The sequence below is a fragment of the Homo sapiens genome, chromosome 9, assembly GCF_000001405.40.
Source record: "Homo sapiens chromosome 9, GRCh38.p14 Primary Assembly".
NCBI lineage: Eukaryota > Metazoa > Chordata > Mammalia > Primates > Hominidae > Homo > Homo sapiens.
In genome coordinates, this window is record NC_000009.12 from 83737522 (window position 1) to 83762429 (window position 24908).

Consider the following 24908-nt stretch of genomic DNA (forward strand, 5'->3'; position numbering starts at 1 on the left):
GCTTCAGCCTCCCCAGTAGCTGGGACTATAGGCATACACCACCACAACTGGCTAATTTTTGTATTTTTAGGAGAGACAGGATTTCACCATGTTGACCAGGCTGGTCTGGAACTCCGGGCCTCAAATGATCCACTTGCCTCAGCCTCCCAAAGTGCTGGGATTACAGGTATGAGCCACTGTGCCTGGCCTAAAATCCTGTATTTTAATGAATCATAATTGTATTTTACTGCCTCTACTAAAAACAGTTGAATCCCATAAACTACTAATTATTATAGCAATTGATTAGACTAGTGAAAAATCTCTCATTTATTCCTCCTACACACCAAAGCTCCCGCCGACTTTTTTTTTTTTTTTGAGACGGTGTCTTACTTTGTTGTCCAGGCTGAAGTGCAGCGTTGCAATCACGGCTCACTGCAGTCTCAACCTCCCAGGCTGAAGCAATCCTCCCACCTCAGCCTCCAAAGTAGCTAGGACCACAGGCACATGCCACCACAACTGGCTGATTATTTAAAAATTCCTCGTAGGAATGGGTTCTCACTATGTTGCCCAGACTGGTCTTGAACTTCTGGACTCAAGTGATCCTTCCACCTCAGCTTCCTAAAGTGTTGGGATTACAGGCATGAGCCACCAAACCCAGCTACAAGTACTCTTTCTATTCCCAGTGAGTCATGTTATTATTCTCAAGCCAAATTGTTTTTGTTTGTTTGCAATCTGTACACTTTTTTTTCTTGTTTTACTGCATGAGGTAGGATCATCTATACAGTATTGACATGGGGGAAGTGTGGAGATTAGACAACCTTGGCTTAGCCCTTATCTTATGGTGAAAGCATTCACAGACATTATTATTATTAGTTTTATACAGACAGGGTTTCGTCATGTTGCCCAGGCTGGTTACGACCTCCTGGGCTCAAACAATCCATCCGCCTCAGCCTCCCAAAGTGCTGGGATTACAGGTGTGAGTTACTGCACCCAGCCCTAATTCTTTTCTTTCTTTGTCATCCGTTCAGTGTTAAGATCACAGCTTACTGCATCCTTGACCTCCCAGACTCAAGTGATCCTCTCACCTCAGCCTCCTGCGTAGCTGGGGCTACAGGCACATGCCACCACACCTGGCTAATTTTTTTTTTTAGAGACAGGATCTCACCATGTTGCCCAGGATGGTTTTGAACTCCTGGGCTCAAGTGACCCTCCTACCGCTGCCTCCTAAAGTGCTGGGATTACAGGCATGAGCCACCATTCCCAGCCCACAGACTGTTTTTCATTCTGCCTGCCTGGACCGCCTGTCAATAAATTTACAGAAAAAATATCTACCCTTTAAAAGCTATTTCATGCAAGTTTTCTCCATCTCCAAACAATGTGATTTCACACTCTACTATCTATGGTAATTATTTTTTGCTCTTGTTTTACCCACCCCCACCTTTTTTTTTTTTTTTTTTTTTTTGAGACAGAGTCTCTCTGTGTCACCCAGCTCACTACAACCTCTGACTCCGAGGTTCAAGCGATTCTCCTGCCTCAGCCTCCCGAGTAGCTGGGATTACAGGCGCACACCACCATGCCTAGCTAATTTTTATATTTTTAGTAGAGACGGGGTTTCACCATGTTGGCCAGGCTGCTCTCAAACTCCTGGCCTCAAGTGATCTGCCCACCTTGGCCTCCCAAAGTGCTGGGGTTACAGGTGTTAGCCACCACACCCGGCCTAACCACTCCCACCTTCTACTTCCCCCAAGCATAAGCTATTTGAGGGTATCAGCCATATTTCATCTTGCATGTCCTGCAGGGTTTAGTGTGCAGAAAGTGCTGAGAAAATTTTCACTGAACTGAAAGGACCCAACTGATTGGCTGTGCTGTAAGCAAAAATACTTTCATTTCATGTTTCTGAAACTTAACAAATCAAACATATTAGTGGAAGAGTAAATTAATTTTATTGACTGATGAAAAACTAAAGTGATAAGAAGTATGGATAGTAGACAACCACTGAATTCTGCTGGAATTCTCTATTTCTTCTTTTTCACTTTAAGCCAAAAGAAATAAAATTATAGACCATTAGGGAGCTAGTTGCTTTTAGTTCCTTCAAGAAAAACTGCATAGTTTAGCAGTTGCACAGCATTAAATATATACAACTTTGCAAAATCCTGGAAGTTTTAAACTTTGTGTTGACTTCAAAGGCTAATGTAATCACCTACACTGGTCGGATTCAGAGTTTCTTTTCCCTTTTCTGCCACCCTGTAAAAAAAAAAAAAAATAGGGAAAATTATTTACAACATACCATTTTGGGACCACTTCATTTAAAAAATATAGACCAAAGGCATCTTGGGGTATGAGAAGGAAGCAATTTCTTTTTTGATTTTGTTGTAAATTTGAGTCTACATACTGTTACATTATTTTAATATGGTTATTTTTTATAAATGGTTAAGGTTGGTTTTAGAAAAGTTACTTCTATTTGAATAAGAGTCTTGCCTTAGTAAGCTCACCGATATCTTATTTTTTTAGAACTCATTTTGACTGTTCTAGAATTAAAAATAAAGTTTTTGATCAATACTAAAATAAACAGTACACTTAAATTTGTTCCATATGATCAGCAAATTTAGTAATTCAGTTCATTACCTTTTGGGTAATTCAATTTATAATTCAAGTTCTGTTGCGTTTTGCTCACATTAGCATTAGAAATTTGATTTTGTTCATTAGTGGATTGAAAACTAGGTTATGCTTTTCATATTGCTTAGTTGCATATATAAATTTGTATTTAATTTGCTCCATATGAAACATCATTTGTGGTATTTGACTTGAGCCAAAGCAAAGGAAAGGCAGCATAAAGGACAAGAAGGGTTTTACATAAATATTTTAACATAACATAACATAACATAACATTTTCTGTTTTATTCTGATTTAAAAAACATTCATTATAGAAATATGGAAAGTACAAACATGCAAAGAATAAAATTAAAATCATCAATAGCTACTCTACCCCCTTCAATTTAACCATAAATAATGGTTTAATGTATTTACTTTATAATAGTTGTATGTATAGTTTTTCCCATTTTTATAAAACTATGGCAATGGTGTCCAAACTTAGTTGATCATCAGAATTACCTAAGCAGTAATATTTTTAGAATTCTGACATCTAGGCTTTGTCCCACACCTATTTAATTGGCTAACAATCTTTAATTCAAAGTTTCCAAGTGATTCCAATGATCAGCCAAGTTTGGGAACTACCTTTTCTGTGGAAGTGCATCTCTTAAAGAGAGGTGGTTGTATCAGGGGCATATGGAGCTCAGACTCATTTGATAATGATGGCAGTTTCTCTTTGTTTCTTTCATTCTTTTTCTGACTATAATAACCATTTCAACATCAACATTATAAAACAAAATGAAACAATACTCGCACATAAGAATGCTGTCATTCACTCCTGACCATATAAAAATTTTGCCAATATTTATTCAGAGAAAAACAGTATGAATAGGTTTTTTGGAACAGGAGATGTGTAATGACATGTATTAAAAACAAGATTTATTTCCAGTTAGCAGAAAAATAAAAATAAACTTAGCAAAAATATTTTTTGAAATAGATACCCACCCACTATACATAAAACTCCTACCATGCTTCTCGATGAGATTTCTTAAAAATCCAAAACAACAAACACACAAGAATCTTTTCAAGGTATCCCAGGTAAAGGGAATTCTCTTTCTAGGACTGATTCAATTTTAAAGCCACGGCTAATCAACTGCTATGTTCTCCACACCATGAGTGGCTTTTGAGATTTTTTGGCTATGATTCCAGTTAATGTATTTTATATTATGATTTAGAAACACATATATATACACACACATAAATATATCTCTCACACACACACACACACACACACACACACACAAAAGCACTGGTATTTTTAATTGCTTCATCCTGGAACAAACTGCTCAATGCTAGCTTGTAAATGCAGAAGAAATGATAGAGTTAGAAAATCACTATTTTGCAATCACAAAAAAAGGCACAAATATCAATGGATGCTAAAGCCACTAGATGAAAAGGGTATTCATACAATCTTAAAGTATCACCTCACATATTAATTATAAAAGGGAAAATATATATTTACAATGGAGATATCTAGGAGATATCACTGTATCCAAGTGATCAACCTTATAAACAGGACAATTGTCCTTTTGTGCCTTTCCCCAATATGATTCAATGGCATGTATGCTGTATCATCTATGTAGTACCAAGAATTTTCCTGAATTATGCTAGTTATTGCTGTATATACCAATGTCTAGAATAACATCTTCTACATTGTAAATTATATGACCGATAATAAAATTATCAATATATTTAGTGAATAAATTTTGGCCTAAGAATAAAATACTGCATTTATTCTCACACAGTATCTACTCCAAATGTATTATTTGTGATAAAAACACTTATAAATTATAAAAGCATACCTGGTATTTGGCTAACTCTGCTTGTAATACTTTCACTTTAGATCTTTCTTGTTCTAATGCAGCATGAAGTGAAGTCACCTATAACCAAATATTCAATAAGAAAAAGAATTTTTGGGGTTTTTGGCAAATACTCAATTCTTAACATATTCACAATGATAGGTTTTTGACAGCTAAATGGATGAGTAACAGAGAAGCTCCCCCCATAATTTCCATTTGGTATTGTACACAGCTCTATGTTAAAGATGGGGCAAACTGTCCTGAGAGAAGAAGACAATAAGGATGTGAAGGGGAGAAAAATCAAGCCCAGATACAGGGTTAAGTTCTATTGGCCCTTTCTGTCTCTAAATTCATGGTTCATTAAAATACAGCCTTATCATCCCCTATTCTTCAGGGGGAAGGACATACCTACCTCTTTTAGTGCTGTAAACAGAATCTTCATTCATGGGCTATTACATAATAATAAAGTATAATTTATACTACATCCTTACAGTGTTGATGAGCTGTATTTGTTAAGTTTAATAATTCAAGACTAAAGACAGCTTAAGAAAACCAGTCATGTATGCTCCACAGTTCCTTACCTGAATAGTGAGCTCATTCTTGATACTTTGTGATTCATCAACTTGCAGAAGTATTTCTGCCTTATCTTTCACTGACAAAAAAGGAAAAACAGCAGTATAGATTTTCCAGTCACCCAAATACTTCAACAATACTTCAGGGAACTAAGACATAGCAGTGCAATTAGAACAATGATTTCTTGTCATACTTAAAGAATCTACTTCTTGACCTTGCATAGCTCTTACTTTTCACTGGTAAATTCTTTTTTGTTTGTTTGTTTTACATTTTCACCAGTAAATTCTGATCATCATCAGCACAGCATTTTTTTCTTAGAAATTTTACATTTTCTGTGGTGTTAAAATATTTATTGCTGGGCATGGTGGCTCACACCTATAATCCCAGCACTTTGGGAGGCCAAGGTGGGCAGATCACTTGAAGCCAGAAGTTGGAGACCAGCCTGGCCAACATGGCAAAACCCTGTCTCTACTAAAAAATATTATACAAAAATTATCCAGGTGTGGTGGCGCATGCCTGTAATCCCAACTACTTGGAAGGCTGAGGCATAAGGATCCCTTCAACTGGGGAGGTGGTGGTTGCTGTGAGCCAAGATGGTGCCACTGCACTCCAGCCTGGGCGACAGAGAGAGACTCTGTCAATAAAAAAATACATATTTTTTAATTGCACAAATATGGTGCAAGATTAATTTTTATATCTACTCTAAATAGGACAAGGATACAAGAAAACAAAATTTCACATATGGAAAAAACTTTATAAATACCTTGACTAATCTTAAGGCATGATTTTAAAAACAATTATGGTAGCTCACACCTGTAATCCTAGCACTTTGGGAGGCTGAGGCAGGCAGATCACCTGAGGTCAGGGGTTCAAAATCAGCCTGGCCAACATGGCAAAATCCTGTCCCTAGTAAAAACACAAAAATTAGCCAGGTATGGTGGCACATTCTTGTAATCCCAGCTACTCGGGAGGCTGAGGCAGGAGAATCACTTCAACCCATGAGGCGGAGGCTGCAGTAAGCCAAGCTCACGCCACTGGACTCCAGCCTGGGTGACAGAGTGAGATTCGTCTCAAAATAAATAAATAAAAACAATGCAGAGTGCTTTTTTTGTTGAATTGTTGGGGGTGGTGAGCATACCATAATGCCAACAAAATTATATTTCTCTGAATAAATTTTCATACCAATAAGGCAATGTCAACTAAATGTAGCTCATATGATCACAAATGATCATATGACATGTGTGGTCTCTTAGAACTATTCATTTTTTTCTAGAGGCTTCTCTCTCTTGGGAGAAGCGAGGTATCTATACTTTGGCCCTATGTTTCCTAAGCTTCAGAAATTTTCACATGGCTGAGAACTTCCTTAACTCATGGTAACGGCTAATGTATGAAAAACTAACTCCTCACTTTGAAAACAAACTAGGAGAGACTAGAGAGGTAAAATTGTAATAAAATTAGCAAAGGAGGAAAATGACTACTGATATCACCACAGCTCTGCCAATGTAAGATTGTAGTTCAAATTCATTTTCATAGTTTAATATGATAAGATGAAACACCCTATCAAGAATCAATTCAGTCTCTCAAGAATCAACCTGGGAACTTTTACAAATTATGCTTTCTACTCCTCCATCCCCAGGATTATAAACACTTGCTGAAAACTAGTGATTTTAAAGAGTTATGTAATATTTCAATTACAATCAGTTCTCCTATAATGCTTGTTTTGAAAACACAAATTTGTTTCAATGAGGTTGATGTATTAGGTAACAACTTGAACATAACACAAATTTTCAATACACTTATGTACAATTTTATGAACAGAGAAAACCACACCCACATGTACTCCTTGAATATCTACCAGCTACCTTGGTTCACTGTGTGTTAGGAAACACACCCATCTGGTCTGACAACTTTCCATCCTTCCACCATGCAGCAGTAACACACAAGCTATAACCCTTCTGAGACCTACTTCCCCACAAGCAAACTTCAGGTTTTCTTCAAGGTAAAGTGCCATATTTATGTAATATTTATGTATTTAACCATTTTAACATGTGTAAAACTGCGTTACTGTTTTTATTAGTTTCCCATCTTTTTTTCATGTGTCACTGACAACGATTTTAAGTGCTGTGCTTCTAACCTTCCTTTTTCTCGTAAGTATTGTGGGGATTTTTTGTTTCTTTGAGACAGGTGTATTAGTTCATTCTCACACTACTATAAAGAACTGCCTGAGAATGGGTAATTTATAAAGAAAAGAGGTTTAATTGACTAATAGTTCCATATGGCTGGGAGGCCTCAGGAAACTTACAATCATAGTAGAAGGCACTGCTTCACAAGGTGGCAGGAGAGAGAATAAGTGCTGAGCAAAGGGGGAAGCCTCTTATAACACCATCAGATCTCATGAGAACTCACTAACATGAGAATAGCATGGGGGAAAGCACCCCCATGATTCAATTATCTCCATCTGGTCCCACCCTTGACAACTGGGGATTATTACAATTCAAGGTGAGATTTGGGTGGAGACACAGAGCCAAACCATATCAACAGGGTCTCACTCTGTTGCCCAGGCTGGAGTGCAGTGGCAGGATTACAGCAGTCTCAGCCTCCTGGGCTCATGCAATCCTCCCACCTTAGCCTTCCAAGCAGCTGGGACCATAGGCGTGCACCACCATGCCAGGATAATTTTTGTACATATAATTTTTGAGACAAGGTTTTGTCATGTTGCCCAGGCTGGTCCCAAACTCCTGGGCTCAAGCGATCCACCTGTCTCAACCTCCCAAAGCTGGGATTACAGGTGTGAGCCACTGTGCCTGGCCATCTTGTGTGATTTTGCAGAGACTAGTGATTTTTAGGAACACATGCTGCATTATTACAGAACTGACCATATTTACATTTACATTATAAGTGTTACAAGTATTTTCATGTAATGATCCTATATAAAATTCTACTTGGATTACTTATGCTATGGACACTGTTGTTACTGATAGCGATTTTTAATCTATTTTTGAGAGCAAGCTTTTATCAGTTAACTTTCTCAATTTCCACAGTGTTTTATGGGGAGGAAATATTATTTTATTTTTACATATTTAGAATTTATACATCCAATACGCAATGATACTCTTCATTTCTGCACTTAGAAATATATCTTCTAAATAACTTAATTTTTTATTTTCATAACTTTGTTCATTAAAAGACCCACATGGAGATCAATAACATGCACAGGTCTAAATTAATCTCAGGATGTAGACATCTAAATGTCCAAATAATATTTTTCCCCGTATTTTTTTTTTTTTGAGACAAAGTCTCACTCTATCAGCCAGGATGGAGTGCAGTGGCATGATCTTGGCTCATTGCAACCTCTGCCTCCTGTGTTCAAGTGATTCTTGCACTTCAGCCTCCCAAGTAGCTGGGATTATAGGCAAGCACCACCACACCTGGCTAATTTTTGTATTTTTAGTAGAGATAGGGTTTCACCATGTTGTCCAGGGTGGTCTCGAACTCCTAACCTCAAGTGATCCACCTGCCTCGGCCTCCCAAAGTGCTGGGATTATAGGCATGAGCCACTGCGCCTGGCCTCCCCCCATAATTCTTTAACTTCTATTTGTGTAATAGTTAAGTTATAAAAAATATAAGGTTGAACCTACTTCAAGAGTATTCATGTTCTGTTCAACTGGACATGATTTCTGATTTTTACTCATTGTTTGACAACTATTTTGTAATGTAGTTTAAATTTTGTTTGGACAGTTATATTCCAAGTATAGTCATCCCTTGGTATACAATTGCTTGCAGGACATCCCGAGGACACCAAAATCTAAAGATGCTTAAGTCCCTACTATAAAATGGTGTATATTTGCATAAAACCTATGCATATCCTTCTATATGCTTTAAATCATCTCTAGATTACTAGCTGGGCGTGGTGGCTCATGCCTGTAATCCCAACACTTTGGGAGGCCGAGGCGGGTGGATCACGAGGTCAGGAGATAAAGACCATCCTGGCCAACATGGTGAAACCCCGTCTCTAGTAAAAATACAAAAAAATTAGCCAGACGTGGTAGCAGGCGCCTGTAGTCCCAGCTACTTGGGAGGCTGAGGCAGGAGAACAGTGTGAACCTGGGAGGCGGAGCTTGCAGTGAGCGCCACCACACTCCAGCCTGGGCAACAGAGAAAGACTCCTTCTCAAAAAATAAATAAATAAATAAATAACAATTTAAAAAAATCACCTCTAGATTACCTATAATACCTAATATGGCATAAATGCTATGTAAATAGTTGTTACACTGTTATTGTTTAGGGAGTAATGACAAGAAAAAAGTCTGCACATGTACAATTTCAACAAATATATTTGTGATCCACAATTGATTGATCCACAGATGGGGAACCCATGGATATGGAGGGCTGACTATATCTTCACATCTGAAAACCATTTTTGGTATTTTGTTTTTTCATTTTTCAAGGTGAATTTCACAATTTCTTAAGAGCTATACAATATTCACAGGAGCTATCTTTGGAGTTTCATTAGCATTTATTAACAGGAAAACTGTTGATTAATTTTGTCTATTCAGAGAAAGATTTTCTCCTTTATGTCTTAATCTGTGTTTCTTTTGTGGTTTATAATTTCCTTTGCCTAAGTCTCATACTAAAAAATTAACATATATTTCTTTTTCTATTATGAATGGAAAATTTTCATAAAACTTTCAAGATAAATGTCACTAGGTATATACACAGTGAGAAATGCAACTGATTTGGCAGGCTTTTGTATATCAGCTTTACTAATCTTATCATCTGCAATCATTTTTTTCTATTGATTTCCTTGGCTTCCTGCTGGTAACCTCTTGTCAAAAGTTTACAGAGTAGCAGCAAAAGTATGAAGAGCAGTGGGGAGGGGAGAAGGAAATAAGGAAACAAAAAGGAAAACCTAAAGTGATGACAGGCTGCCTCCTTCAATAACTGAAAAAGCAGAATCCTAAGCAAATGTTAGGCTTGTTTTCCCTCTAAATATAGTTCAGTAAGTTATAAGAATTGAAATTTTAAGAGTTTCTTTTACCTGAATAGTTATAAACTGGTATAAAACTAAGGTGCTGTAAGAGTGACCTGTAATAATAACTTTATCAGCAACTATCCAGCATTTTTTTTTTTTTTTGAGACAGTCTTGCTCTGTTCCCCAGGCTGCAAGTACAGTGGTGCAATCTCGGCTCACTGCAACCTCTGCCTCCTGAGTTCAAACAATTCTCATGCCTCAGTTTCCCGAGCAGCTGGGATTACAGGTGTGCACTACCACACCTGGCTACTTTTCGTATTTTTAGTAGAGATGTGGTTTCACCATGTTGGCCAGGCTGGTCTCAAACTCCTGGCCTCAAGTGATCTGCCCACCTTGGCCTCCCAAAGTGCTAGGATTACAGGTGAGCCACCATGCTTGGCCAACTATGTAGCTTATATCACTCTGGGAAACCTTTCTACTTTGTTGAGTCTTTTTTTCAATTTTTTTTATTGGCACATAATAATCATATATATTTATGAGGTGCATGTGATATTTTGATACAGGCATACAAAGTGTACTGATCAAATAGGTATTTAAGATATCCAGGAACTCAAACATTTATCATTTCTTTGTGTTGAAGGCACTTCAAATCTTTTCTTCTAGGTATTTTGAAATATACAAATTATTGTTAACTATAGTCACCCTATTGTGCTATCAAACACTTTTGTTGAGTTGGTAAATCACACATTTGAAAAAGTACCTTCAGATATTATTTAAGATAAACTTTTAATTACAAAAACATAAAATCCACTTACTTTCACCTTCCTGAAGCATTTTCAATAATTGTGCATTTCTTGCCTTTACTTCCTTATACTTTGCCTAATAGTCAAAGAAAAAAGATTTAGTTTTTTTAAAAGTAAGTGATATAATTAATGATTTACTGTCAACTTACAGAGCTCTGAATTCTTGGCTTGCTCAAAGATATAATTACTTTAGAAACAAACAGGATGGAGGAAAATGTATTCGGAACTATCTACAACTTAAATTAAGTCCCTGGCACAATAATACATATCAATATTATACGTGATTGAAAATTAAAGGAGAGAGGGATAAAAGTGGAGAAAACTCAAGATAATACTAAATTTTCCTAAATAATCTTCTTTTCTTCCTCAGATAAAACCCTTATACAATTCAAAATAATTTAAATGAAAACCAAAAGAAAAATGAGCCACAGTTCTAAAGCAGTACTGTCTGGCAATATACTAGGACTTTCTACATCTGCTCTGTATTTGTCACTGTCCAATATGCGACTACTGAAAGAACACTAGCAATGTGGCTAGTGTGACTGAGAAAAATGAATTTTTAATTTTAAACTTTAATTTTAAATTTAAAATGTGATAGACTTGTAGTGGATATTGAATTTTATAGGACAGTTCTATACCTTCTCAGTTGAAGATTCACTAATCGTTTGTTATTTCACTAACTAAATAATCACTGTTATAATTTTTGGCTGGCATGAATTAGTACTTTACCCAAATATCTTTCAACTCTTTTTCAATTTCTTTTTCCAGATGGCTTAGCTTCTTCTCACATTACAAAAATGATACAAGTATACATTTATGAACAAAAAGGATTGTGTTCCCACATTAACATCCATATTTTAGGCAATTTTACCCCATGCTACCCTTATTAAACATGTCTTATAACACTCTCTGTATCACTTATTTATTTACTTTTTTTTTTTTTTTTTTGAGATGGAGTCTCACTCTGTCGCCCAGGCTGGAGTGCAGTAGCACGATCTCGGCTTACTGCAACCTTCGCCTCCTGGGTTCAAGTGATTTTCCTGCCTCAGCCTCCCTAGCAGCTGGTACTACAGGTGTGTGCCACCATGACTGGCTAATTTTTGTATTTTCAGTACAGATGGGGTTTTACCACGTTGGCCAGGCTGGTCTTGAACTCTTGACCTCAAGTGATCAACCCGCCTTGGCCTCCCCAAAGTGCTGGGATTACAGGCGTGAGCCACTGCGCCCAAGCCTGAATCATTTATAAAGATTTAATACATTAATACATTAGAGAAAACAAAGCATTTAACACAGTATAGAAAAACAAAACCCTAAAGAAAACATTAATATAAGAAAAATCATTTTTTTCCTCTCAACATATACATAGATATGTATAGAAGTTACCAGATTCAAATTTTTTAAAAACAAATTAAAATGTGTTTTAAGTCCAATAAAGATGGCTTTTACTAAATAGTACTCTGTCCATTAAATTGTTGATGATAAGTAAATAATGTTTACTGAGTAATACTGCAGTGAATACAATAAACTGAAGTAAAGCACCATACTGAATATAAACGTAGAAAGACTGCTGAGAAGCTCAGAAATGAACAAGGGAGACCAGTCAAATGGAAACATAAAAATATAATGGGGGAAAACACATACACTCAACTACAACTATATTCGCTATGAATATAGAAATATTCATTGTGAATATGAAACTACACTCGCTATGAAATTCCCACCCTCTGGGCTCCAACCTATGTTAGTATTTCACCAAACTCTATCTCTGGCTCAAGCCTTTGTTCAAGGTCCAGATCAGTCTTCATGGAGGTACCTCTTATTCAAGGTTTACGGTCTAAAATAGCTCATAAAGCAAAAATTGCAAATGAGCATGATTACCTGTGACAATTATTTGCATTGCTTAAAAACTGCATATATAAAAATATAAATGTACAAAATACCAGTAACATATTAGCTAATAAAGAGCACATATGAAATACATAACATTCTTGCTAGCATATTTAATTTCATGACAGACAGCATACAAAGTTGATAAAATTAAATACACGTGTTGTTACTGCACTGTCTAAAAAAGTAGCCATTTAAAACGCAACATATCCAAAATGAAATCTATTAGTTCCCATTCCCCAAATCAGTCAAAGACGTGCTCTTCCTCTTACACTCTATACTTATCCATTGTTTTAGCAGACTGTCTTCACTCCAAGCCTCAGCAACATGCATCATCATCGCAAATATCTTCTCAATATCATCCCACAGCAGCTGCGTCATTTTACATTCCCACCAGCAGTGAACATGTTCCAATTTCTCGACATCCTTGCCAGCACTTGTTATGTATACATTTTATTTTAAACCTCAAATCTTACCTCCTCCCTTAGGCTTTTTAAAAAATCTATTTTTTAATCTATTATTCATCTCAAGTATTCTTCTTTGACTAATATTAATTCATGTAAAAATTACTTATTCAATGCTTGTAACGTGCCAGCTACTTAATAATTATCATGTCACTTACCTTCTAAAGATTTTTAATGCCCTCTCTATTTTATTTCATTTATTTTTTCGAGATGGAGTCTCACTCTGTCACCCAGGCTGGAGTGCATGGCACGATCTTAGCTCACTGCAACCTCCACCTTCCAGGTTCGAGCGATTCTCCTGCCTCAGCATTCCAAGTAGCTGGGACTACAGGCGCGTGCCACCAAGCCCGGCTAATTTTTCATATTTTTAGTAGAGACAGGGTTTCACCATGTTAGCCAGGATGGTCTTGATCTCCTGACCTCGTGATCCGCCTGCCCCGGCCTCCCAAAGTGCTGGAATTAACAGGTGTGAGCCACCATGCCCGGCCTAAAGACCTCTCTAAAATCCAAATGCCTTCAAATTCTGAACCCAACTCATATCTGCAATTTCAACTTCTAGTTTCCCATTTCTCTGAATGTCAGCCACAATGTACCTTCCTTCCATCATATTCCCATGCCTTTGTACATACAATTCTCTCTACCTGGAAAAATCATCTTTTCTATGAGATCTTTACCAATTTTTGATAGCAGCAACTCATTCATTCCTTTGTCTGTTCTTCTGGAGCATTCTGTCATATCCTACATTGTACTGCAACTATTTACATGTTTATCTTCCCCATTAATCTACAAGCTTCTTGCTAACTCATCTTTGTATTCTCTGTGTCTAGTACAAAAAAAAGCGAAGAGAAATGTAAATGAAAAGCTAAGGTAAATGAGTGGGTGCAGTCAAAAAAAGTTTTAGTAGGGATGATTCTTAAAGGCATGAGTAGAAGAAGAAGGGAAATGTAAGAACCATCAGGGCTGGAACTTGATTTATTTTTTTTCACTACCACATACACAGGGCGCAAAAAGTATCTGGCACATTACAGGCACTCAATAAATAATTGTTGAGTGAATTCATATTAGTCAAAAAGGAATGATACTTGATATGAATAACAGATTTAAAAAATAGATTAAAAAAAAAAAAACCTAAGGGGAGAGGTAAGATTTGTAGTTAAAAATACATTGTATACATCACAAGTGCTGGAAAGGATGTGGAGAAACTGGAACCTTTGTTCACTCCTGGTGGGAATGTAAAATGACACAGGTGCCATGGAAGTTTGGCAGTTCCTCGAAAAGTTAAATGTGGAATTATATAATCCAGCAATTCCACTCTTAGGTATGTACATACCCAAAAGAACTGAAAGCAAGGACTCAGATACTTATGCACCAGTAAACAAAATATATACACACAATGAAAAATTATTCAGCTACAATATGTGATGAAATTCTGACACATGCTACAACGTGGATGAACCTTAAAAACATTATGCTAGGCCAGGCACAGTGGCTCACGCCTGTAACCCCAACACCCTGAGAGGCCAAGGCGAGCAGATCACAAGGTCAGGAGTTCGAGACCAGCCTGGTCAACATAGTGAAACCCCGTCTCTACTAAAAATGCAAAAATTAGCCAGGCATGGTGGTGCGGGCATGGTGGCACGTGCCTGTAGTCCCAGCTACTTGGGAGGCTGAGGCAGGAGAAGTGCTTGAACCCAGGAGGTGGAGGTTGTGGTGAGCCAAGACTGTGCCACTGCACTCCAGCCTGGGCAGCAGAGCGAGACTCTGTCTCACAAAAACAAACAAACAAAAAAACCACATTATGCTAAGTGAATACGCCACACATAAAGAGGATAAACACTGTATGATTCCACTTACATGAGGTACCTAGAATGGGCAAATTCACAGAAATTAGAGGTTACCGGGGTGTGGAAAATGAGAATGGGGAGTTCTTTGTGGGTTAAGAGTTTCTGCCTGGGATGATGAAAAAGTTCTGGAAATAGACAGTGGTGATGGTTACACAATACTGTGTATAAAGGTACTTAATGCCCCACTGAATTGTACACTTTAAATGGTTATGTTATATGTATTTTACAACAACAAAAATAAATTATACTATGTGTAAACTATACCACAATAAAGTGGATTTTTAAAAAACAAAATACAACCAGGCACGGTGGCTCATGCCTGTAATCCCAGCACTTTGGGAGGCTGGGGTGGGCGGATCTCTTGAGGCCAGGAGTTCGTGACCAGCCTGGCCAACATGGTGAAACTCTGTCTCTACTAAAAATACAAAAATTAGCCGGGCGTGGTGGCTCATGCTTGTAATCCCAGCTACTCAGGGCAGGAGAATCGCTTGAACCCAGGCGGAGGTTGCACCGAGCTGAGATCACTCCATTGCACTCCAGCCTGGGCAACAGAATGAGACTCCATCTCAAACAACAACAACAACAACAACATAAATAAATAAATAAATAATCATTCAGACTTTAAACCATTAAAGAGTTTAAGAACATAAAAAACAGAATGACTATTCCCATGAATTGCATATTAAACATATTTACATATAAGAAAAACAGAAAACGTGAAAATTTATAGAATTATTTTCTTTAACAACAGTAAATGGACACAAACCTCCCATTGAGTGATTACATTTTTCAGCTTCTGGATTTCAGCATCTTTCCTTTCAAGCTCTAACTTTAGTCTTTCAATTCTTCCATCTTTCAGAACCACTTCCTGAAAAGAGAGAAACAACACTTTAGGACTTTGATTATTCCGCTAATTCTGGTTTATAGTATTCCTTTGTGAAAAGTTTAAGAGGAAAAATTCTGACCTTAATTTTCTGAGGCCACCTTATGCTGTTGACTACATTTCTACTTTCACTCAATTATATAATCCTAATACACAATGCAAGCAAGGAAGTATTTATAATTAAGCCAAACATACTGACAAACAATATCAGGGCTTTCAAAGGATATTTCTATCCTGGAACAAACATATTAAAAGTGCTCTGTGACAAGTTGTTGTTATTAGTCTATCTTAAAAATTCAAAAATTCAAAAAATGACTACAAATACAAAATTAATAAAAAATATGAAAACTAAAATAAATAGCTTTTCACTGTATTAGCAATTAACAGGTAGAAGACAGAACTAGAAAAATAATTTCCTCACAACAGCAAGAAAAGCTAACCAGAACAATAAAACTAGGAAGTGATCAGGACCAACACTAAGAAATTTATAAAATCTCGAAAATGACACAGAACAAAGTATGTTTGTAAATAGGAAGGCTACAGGTTACTTTGTAAGTTCAATAACATTTCAATAGAAATCCCAATAGGATGTTGTTCTTTGGAACTTAAAAAGATAGTAAAGACTTCATCTGGAGAATTCAGGATAGACGCAAACAAAAAGTTGATTTGATGAAGAAAGATTTGTCTATCAATTATATAAGGCAAAATAAATAAAATCATGGAACCTAGGTTGACAGAACAATGTACCAGAAAAGAAATCCAGAAAGAGACTTCAGATATAAGAATTTATTGTAATGTAAGGATGATACTTTTAAAAAGTGAGAAAATGCTGAATTACAGAATAATGGTAGGTTACAGGACAAGTGGCTAACTGGGAAAAATCAGGTTAAATCCCTGTCATCTTGCACCATATACCAAAATAAACAAATTTAGTGTAAACAAAAAATCACCCCAAAGTCATACCTTTGATGAGAATATAAATGGTTCTATTTATCTAAGGAGTAATGTGGCAACATCAATGTAGTACTCTACAAATACTCACTGAGCATCTAACTTCTAGGAGCTGAGTACACCATGGTGAACAGAATTGAAAAGATTCTGTGTTTCTTTTCTAGATTAGTAAAGCTCTCTAAAGTGGTGACACTTAAATTGAACCTTGTGTGATGGGTAGGAACTGGCTAAGTAAAAAGGGGAAGTGAGAGCTTTCCAGGTAGAAAGAACAGTATGTTTGAAGGCCATGCAGGAAGGGCCTGGAGAATTTGAAGAAAAAAATAAACCAGTATGGTAAGATAGTGAGGGGGAAGATGGTACAAGATGACTTTGGAAAAGCCAGTAGAGAACTGATCCTGGAGGGCCTTGAAGGCCATAAGAACAGTCTGCACATTATTCTGAGTAAAACAGAAAGCAGTGAAGGATTTTGAACAGGACTGCTAGGTTAGATTTGACTGTGTGAGACTTATGTTTGCAAAGGATCCCTTTCCATGCTGTGTGGAAATGAAATGGAGTGAGGTAAGACAGGTAGAAAGATCCTTTAATTACTACTCTAACCCTGGGTCAAATAAGATTATGCTTTGGATTAGGGTGAAAGCAGTATAAATAGAGAGAAGTATATTTGAGAAATAATTTGGAGGTAGCATTTGATGAAAGGTTTAAAGAATGTGGCAGGTGAGGAAGATGAACACTACAATCTAAGTTTCTAGTTTAAGCAATGAGGTGAGTAGGTCAAAATTAGAAATATACTACTATTAAGTTCTGGAATCTCACTTCTAGGAATTTATCTCCAATAGATAAATGAGGTAGGGAAGTATCTATGAAAAGTGTTCATTGTAGATTTATCACAACAAAAAACTGGACATCAGTTTAAATGCCAAACAATAGGATATAGGTTAAATATATAGTAAATTCAAAAACTGAAAACTAAGTCACTAAAAATGGTGATATAGAGCTATAAAATAATATTTGCATGATTCCAAAGTTGTAATGTGTGCAAAGAAAAAATTCTGGAAGAACATACACCAAAACTTTAACTGTCGTGAACATGGGTTTATCAAAGATTTTGCTTTATTGTTTACAATTTCCTTTTATCAAAATTATTTTATACTGAGTAAATAATCATGGAATAATACTGTTTTACTTTTGAATAAAAATAAAACCATATATGTATTTTTAGAAATCTTGATGAATATGATTATTATCTTTGAATAAGAAGCCCTTCTGAAATTGACATCAAAAAAAAGAGGAAAAATGGAAAAGATTGGTAGATGTGATTTGATGAAAGATCTCAAAAAAAAACCACTGTAACAAAATAAAAAGGTAAAGGAAAAACAAAATAAATTGCAACCAATATGACAGACATATGACCAACAAACATTAAAAAAAGTACAATCTCACTAGTAAGCAAATCCAGGTTTTATCAAACTGGTACTTTTTTTTTTTTTTTTTTTTTTGAGACGAAGTCTCGATCTTATCTCCCAGGCTAGAGTACGGTGGTGTGATCTCAGCTCACTGCAACCTCTGTCTCCCAGGTTCAAGTGATTCTCCTGCCTCAGTCTCCCAAGTAGCTGGGATTACAGGCGCCTGCCACCACTGCTGGCTAATTTTTGTATTTTTACTAGAGACAGGGTTTCACCATGTTGGCCAGGCTGGTCTTGAACTCCAGATCTCAGGCGATCCACCTGCCTTGGCCTCCCAAAGTGCTGGGATTACAAGCGTGACCCACCGCACCCAGCCAAACTGGTACATTAAAAAAATTTTTTTTTCTTAGTGTGATTAGAGGCAATTTACCTATAAACTGAATTATTTCATGTATAAGAATTAATGTCCCAGGCACAGTGGCTCATGCCTATAATCTCAGCACTTTGGGAGGCCGAGGTGAGCAGATCACCAGAGGTCGGGAGTTTGAGACCAGCCTGGCCAACATGGTGATTCTCTACTAAAAATACAAAAATTAGCTGGGTGTGGTGGCACATGCCTTCAATCCCAGATACTGGAGAAGCTGAGGCACAAGGATGGCTTGAACCTGGAGGACGAAGGTTGCAGTGAGCTGAGATTGCGCTACTGCACTCCACCCTGGGCAACACAGTGAGACTCCATCTCAAAAAAAAAAAAAAAAAAAAAAGAAAACAAAACAAAAAGAATTAATGTCCTGAATGCTCATCATTTGTATTTAACTGAAAAAGTGGTCCATCTAACAGTTTCTACATTAATGAGGGAAAAAGAATATATCCATAGTAAGACCACACCAAATTATCAGTACTGTAGTAGTTTTCTCTAGGTGAATGAGATTAGGGTCATTTTTCTCCCACTACATCTGAAAACTGGGGATGATAATGATACCCACCAACTTCATAGTTAGTTGTTAATAATCAAATGAGATCATGCATTTTAAGTACTTAACACAGTGCCTGGCATATACATAGCAAACCTCAAATACTTATTTTTGCCATTATCATTTCTTCATTTTACTTATCAGCAGTTCCCAAAATTTCTACAAGAGATACTACTTTTTAAAACAAAGTCATATTGTTTTAATGTATACTCATTTTCAATGAAGTCCTATATTTCAATAAATACCTTTTAAAAAGTATCTTCTAAGTAGAAAATATTATACTAAAATGAGGATGAAAAGATGTACAAGATAAAGCCTATGCTGACAAGGGCTCTGTAATCTATTAAAAATGACAGGGAAAATGTGCAGTGTGAAATGTGCAGTAAGAAAAACAAAATGCTATGGGGTATAGAAAAAGGAAAATTATATCCAGGTTTTCCGTGTCTCGGGTTTGGGGTTTGGCTGGGGCAGTGAGAGAGAGCTTCTGGGAGGAGATGGCATGTGAAATGAATGAAATGAACCTTGAATAAAGCTGGGACCCACTCAGCATTCTGTGACAGGAGTGGTCTGCTCCAGCTAGAAGAAAAATTGGAAGAGTACAAACAGCTAAAGTTAATTAAGTTAAGGATATCCTGTATAACAATGTTTTCAAACTTATTTGACAGTGACGTATGATAGGTTTTATACAAACACATGCACACATAGAAACAAATTTCACAAAATATAAATAGGTGTCACATACTCTGACATTTTCTCCTGTCCCATTTTTTTGGTAGCAATCTACTAAACTGATTTTAGGGCCTATTGAATGGGTTGGGAAACTCAGTTTGAAAAGCATAGCCTAAGGACTTTGGGTGTCAGGTCAAGGACACTGTACTTAATTCAACAGACACTGAAGTTTAAGGGCACAGCATGGCATGATGGCAGTAATGATTTATAAAAAGGCATTAGTTAGCAGGGTGTAACACATTATATGGCATTAAAGGCAAGAAGCAGAAAGATTGGTTAGATTACTGAAATAATGCCAGTAAGAGATAATGAGAGCCTAAATTAGAGAAATGTTGGTAAGAATGGAAACAAAGATAGATCTGAAAAATATTTCAAAGATTTAAAACTCTAAAAATCTTGAAAAACAGAAAAGTGAAAAAAAAAAAGTGTAGAATCTGGATATCTAGATAAAATGAGGAAACCAAAAACTGAAATGACAGAAGTCAAGCCAAATGCTTGGTATGGAGAGGAAGATGATGAGCCTGGGTTTGAACACAGTGAGACTAAGGTATCCATCAAACAACAGGATGGAATATGCCGCAAGGGTAATTAATAAAACAGAGCCCCGAAGGCCACAAGAGGGGACAGGATCAGGGATAACTGACCTACCTAGCGTTGGTGCAGTTGTGGAGAAATTAGTAATCTCACATCCTGCTGCTAGAAGACAATATGCTGAATGCACCAAGAGCAACACAGAGGCTTATATCCTTTGATTCAATTATTATCTTAAAAAATCGATTCCAAGGAAATGATTCACCAAAAAATTAAATGTATGATCAGTGAATATCAAGCCATCAATTCTAAACAATGTTCAATAATAGGGCAAATACCAAGCAACTTACAGCATGTTGATTTGGCAGGATATAACACCTGGATTACAAAAGGGGTTAGAAAACTAGATTCATTATTGTTGTAATTATTTTAAAATACCTATGCATCTAGGCATTTTCCTAGAAAAACACTATTCAAAAATGAAACTAGGCTGGATACGGTGGCTCATGCCTATGATCTCAGCAATTTGGGAGGCTGAGGCAGGCAGATCACTTGAGGTCAGGAGTTCGAGACCAGCCTGGCCAACATGGCAAAATCCTGTCTCTACTAAATAAATAAAAAAATAATACATAATAAATTAGCTGGGCGTGGTGGTGCATGCCAGTAATCCCAGCTACTTGGGAGGCTGAGGCAGGAGCATTGCTTGAACCCAGGAGGTGAAGGTTGTAGTGAGCCAAGATAGCACTACAGAACTCCAGCCAGGTGACAGAGACTCCATCTCCAAAAAAAAAAAAAACTGAATGACAGACAGACTTAGGGTTGATTTACTTTTCACCTTTAAAAATGCCTAATATATTAATGTATGCACAGTTAAAAAGGATTTTAACCTTGGAAAGCAGAAGAGCTTTCTTTCTCTGAGAAAGGAGCACATTGGATAGAGGAAAGAAGTATATACAGAAAGAGAAGTGGAGAATTTTTTAAACTGCATGAATCCTCTTTTCTCTCCTTTACACTTAATGAAAGCTAAGAAAAACTTCTAATTTTTTCATTTATGAAAAACTTCACATGCGCAAAAGAATTTTATGTACGACACATTAGGTAAAAAGAAAAATAAACCAAAAAGCAGATTAAGAATTTGAACATTACCAATACCTTGGCAGCCCCTCCCCAATCATACCCCTTTTCCCTCCTCTTCTGAGGATATCCATGATTACAGATTTTGTCGTTCTTTTCCTTTGTTAAAGTATTTTACTACATGTATATGAAGCCCTAAATAATGTATTAAATTTCTATTTTTAATTTTTATTTATTTTTTTGAGACAGGGTCTTGCTTCAATGCCCAGGCTGGAAGGGAGTGGCATGATCACAGCTCTATGCAGCCTTGACTTCTCAGGTTCAATCAATCCTCCCACCTCAGCCTTCTGAGTAGCTGAGACTACAGATGCATGCCAACTCACCTGGATAATTTTTTTTTTGCAGAGACAGGGTTATTAAAAAAAATTTATATGAATGTCATCAAATTATTATTTGGTGACTTATGTTTTTCATTAAATGCTATGCTCTTGATATGCATCCATGTTGCTATGTATAACTACAACTTATTCACTTCTCTTATTCTTTTGCTATTACAAACAACTGAGTTTTGAACATTTTTTTTGGACATGTCTTCAGGGTTTAATCTAGGGGTAGAATTTCTAGAACATAAGGTCATGCCCATTATCTTCAACTTTAAAAGTGAATGCCAAATTGTTTTTCAAAATGGTTATACCAATTTACATTCCCACTAGTGGTATGTTAATGCTGTTCTATATCCTTCCTAATAATTAGTAGTCTTTACCTTCCTTCGGTTTTTTCCTAGGCACTGCAGTGAAATTAATATTACTGTAATAAACTTTGCTTTCTGCTCAAAAATCTTCAAAAAGTCTTTAACGTCTGCTGACTAAATTATAAACCAGCCTTTAAATTTGCCACAGTCTTTTCCAACTTAACTTTTCAAATTTATATTACATTCCTCTATAAACCTTCTATTTTAATTAAACTGGTTTATACTTCATTACCTCCATACTTTTACTCAAGGCATCCCAGTTTCTTCTTCTTCATCTCTGCATGTTCAAATTCTATTGTCTTTATAGAACAGCTGAATGGATTAAAAAATAAGACCCAATGATCTGTTGCCTACAAGAAACACATTTCACCCATGAAGACGTAAAAGAGATATTCCATGCCAAGGGAAACCAAAAAAGAGCAGGAGTAGCTATATTAATATCAGACAAAATAGATTTCAAGACAAGAACTATAAGAAACAAAGAAGGTCACTATAAAATGATAAAGGAGTCAGTTCAGCAAGAAGATATAACAATTTTAAATACATATGCACCCAACACTGGAGCACCCAGATATATAAAGCAAATATTATTAGAGCTAAAGAGAGAGATGGGCCCCAATACAATAATAGCTGGTGACTTCAACACTCCACTTTCAGCATTGGACAGATCTTCTAGTAAGAAAATCAACAAAGAAACACTGGACTTAATCTGCACTATAAACCAAATGGACCTAATAGATATTGACAGAACTTTTCATCTGACAGCTGCAGAATACACATTCTTTTCTTCAGCACACAGATCACTCTCAAGGATAGACCCTGTGTTAGGTCACAAAACAAGTCCTAAAACATTAACAAAATTGAAGTAATATCAAGCATCTTTTCTGACCACAATGAAATAAAGCTACAAATCAAGGACAAAAGGAATTTTAGAAACTATACAAATACATGGAAATTAAACAATATCCTCCTGAATGATCAGTGGGTCAATGAAGAAATTAAGAAGGAAACTGAAAAATTTCTTGAAACAAATGATAATGGAAATAACACACCAAAAGCTATGGAATACAATAAATGCAGTACTAAGAGGGAAAGTTATAGCTATAAGTGCCTACATCCAAAAAGAAGAAAAATTTCAAATAAACAACCTAACAATTAATGTTAAAGAACTAGAAAAGCAAGAGCAAACCAAACACAAAATGAGAAGAAAGAAATAATAAACATCACAGCAGAAATAAATGAAACTAAAATGAAGAAAGCAATACAAAAGAAATAAATGAAATTGAAATGAAGAATCCAAAAGTTGATTTTTTGAAAAATTAAACTTGAAAAAAAACCTAAAAATTAAAAAATTAAAACAAAAAACATCAAAAAAAGAAAAATTAAAATTGACAAACCTTTAACCACATCAAGAAAAAGAGAAGATCCAAATAAAACACAGATAAAAAAAGAGACATTATGACTAATACTACTGAAATTCAAAGGATCATTAGTGGCTACTATGAGCAACTATATGCCAATAAATTGGAAAATCTAGAGAAAATGGACAAATTCCTAGACACATACAACCTACCAAGATTGAACCATGAAGAAATCCAAAATCGAACAGACCAATAATAAGATTGAAGCCATAATAAAAAGTCTTCCAGTAAAGAAAAGCCCAGGATCCAATGGCTTCACTGCTGAATTCTACCAAACACTTAAGGAATTAATACCAATCCTACTCAAACTATTCTGACAAAAGAGGAGGAGGGAATATTTCCAAACTCCTTCTATGAGGCCAGTATTACCCTGATACCAAAACCGGACAAAGAAACATCGAAAAAAGAAAACTAGGGGCCAATATCTCTGATGAATATTGATGCAAAAAATCCACAAAAAATACTGAATTCAACAACACATTAAAAAGATCATTCATTATGACCAAGTGGGATTTATCCCAGGAATGCAAGGCTGGTTCAACATATGCAAATCAATCAATGTGATACATCATATCAACAGAATGAAGGACAAAAACCACATGATCATTTCAATTGATGCTGAAAAAGCATTTGATAAAATTCAACATCGCTTCATGATAAAAACCTTCAAAAAACTGGGTATAGAAGGAATATACCTCAACATAATAAAAGCCATACACAAGAAACCCACAGCAAGTAATATACTGGATGGGGAAAAACTGAAAGCCTTTCCTCTAAGATCTGGAACAAGACAAGGATGCCCACTTTCACCCTGTTATTCAACGTAGTACTGGAAGTCCTAGCTAGAGTAATCAGACAAGAGAAAGAAATAAAGGGCATCTAAATTGGAAAGGAAGAAGTCAAATTATCCTTGTCTGCAGATGGTATCACTTTATATTTGGAAAAACCTAAAGGCTCCACAAAAAAACTATTAGAACCTGATAAATTCAGTAAAGTTGCAGGATACAAAATCAACCTTGAAAAATCAGTAGCATTTCTATAGGCCAACAGAGAACAACCTGAAAAAAAAATCAACAAAAGTAATCCCATTTACTCCCATTTACAATAGCCATAAATAAAAATAAATACCTAGGAATTAACCAAACAAGATCTCCATAATGAAAACTATAAAACACTGATGAACAAAACTGAAGAAGAGATGACAAAATGGAAAGATATTCC

The 24908-nt window shown here is 36.2% G+C and overlaps 1 protein-coding gene across 5 annotated transcripts in view; it reads right to left on the minus strand.

The window, feature by feature from the left end:
* Nucleotides 1-1903: 1903 nt before the first annotated feature.
* Nucleotides 1904-24908, minus strand: part of GKAP1 (G kinase anchoring protein 1) — a 78345-nt gene continuing 55340 nt past the window's right edge. For all 5 annotated transcript variants that reach the window (NM_001135953.2, NM_025211.4, XM_011519058.3 and 2 more), the window contains 5 exons: nt 15737-15838; nt 10788-10851; nt 5009-5079; nt 4431-4508; nt 1904-2223 (listed from right to left, as the gene is read on the minus strand). In NM_001135953.2, coding sequence (NP_001129425.1) covers nt 2176-2223; nt 4431-4508; nt 5009-5079; nt 10788-10851; nt 15737-15838 — 363 coding nt within the window. In that variant the 3' untranslated portion in view covers nt 1904-2175. The remainder of the gene's footprint in view (nt 2224-4430; nt 4509-5008; nt 5080-10787; nt 10852-15736; nt 15839-24908) is intronic.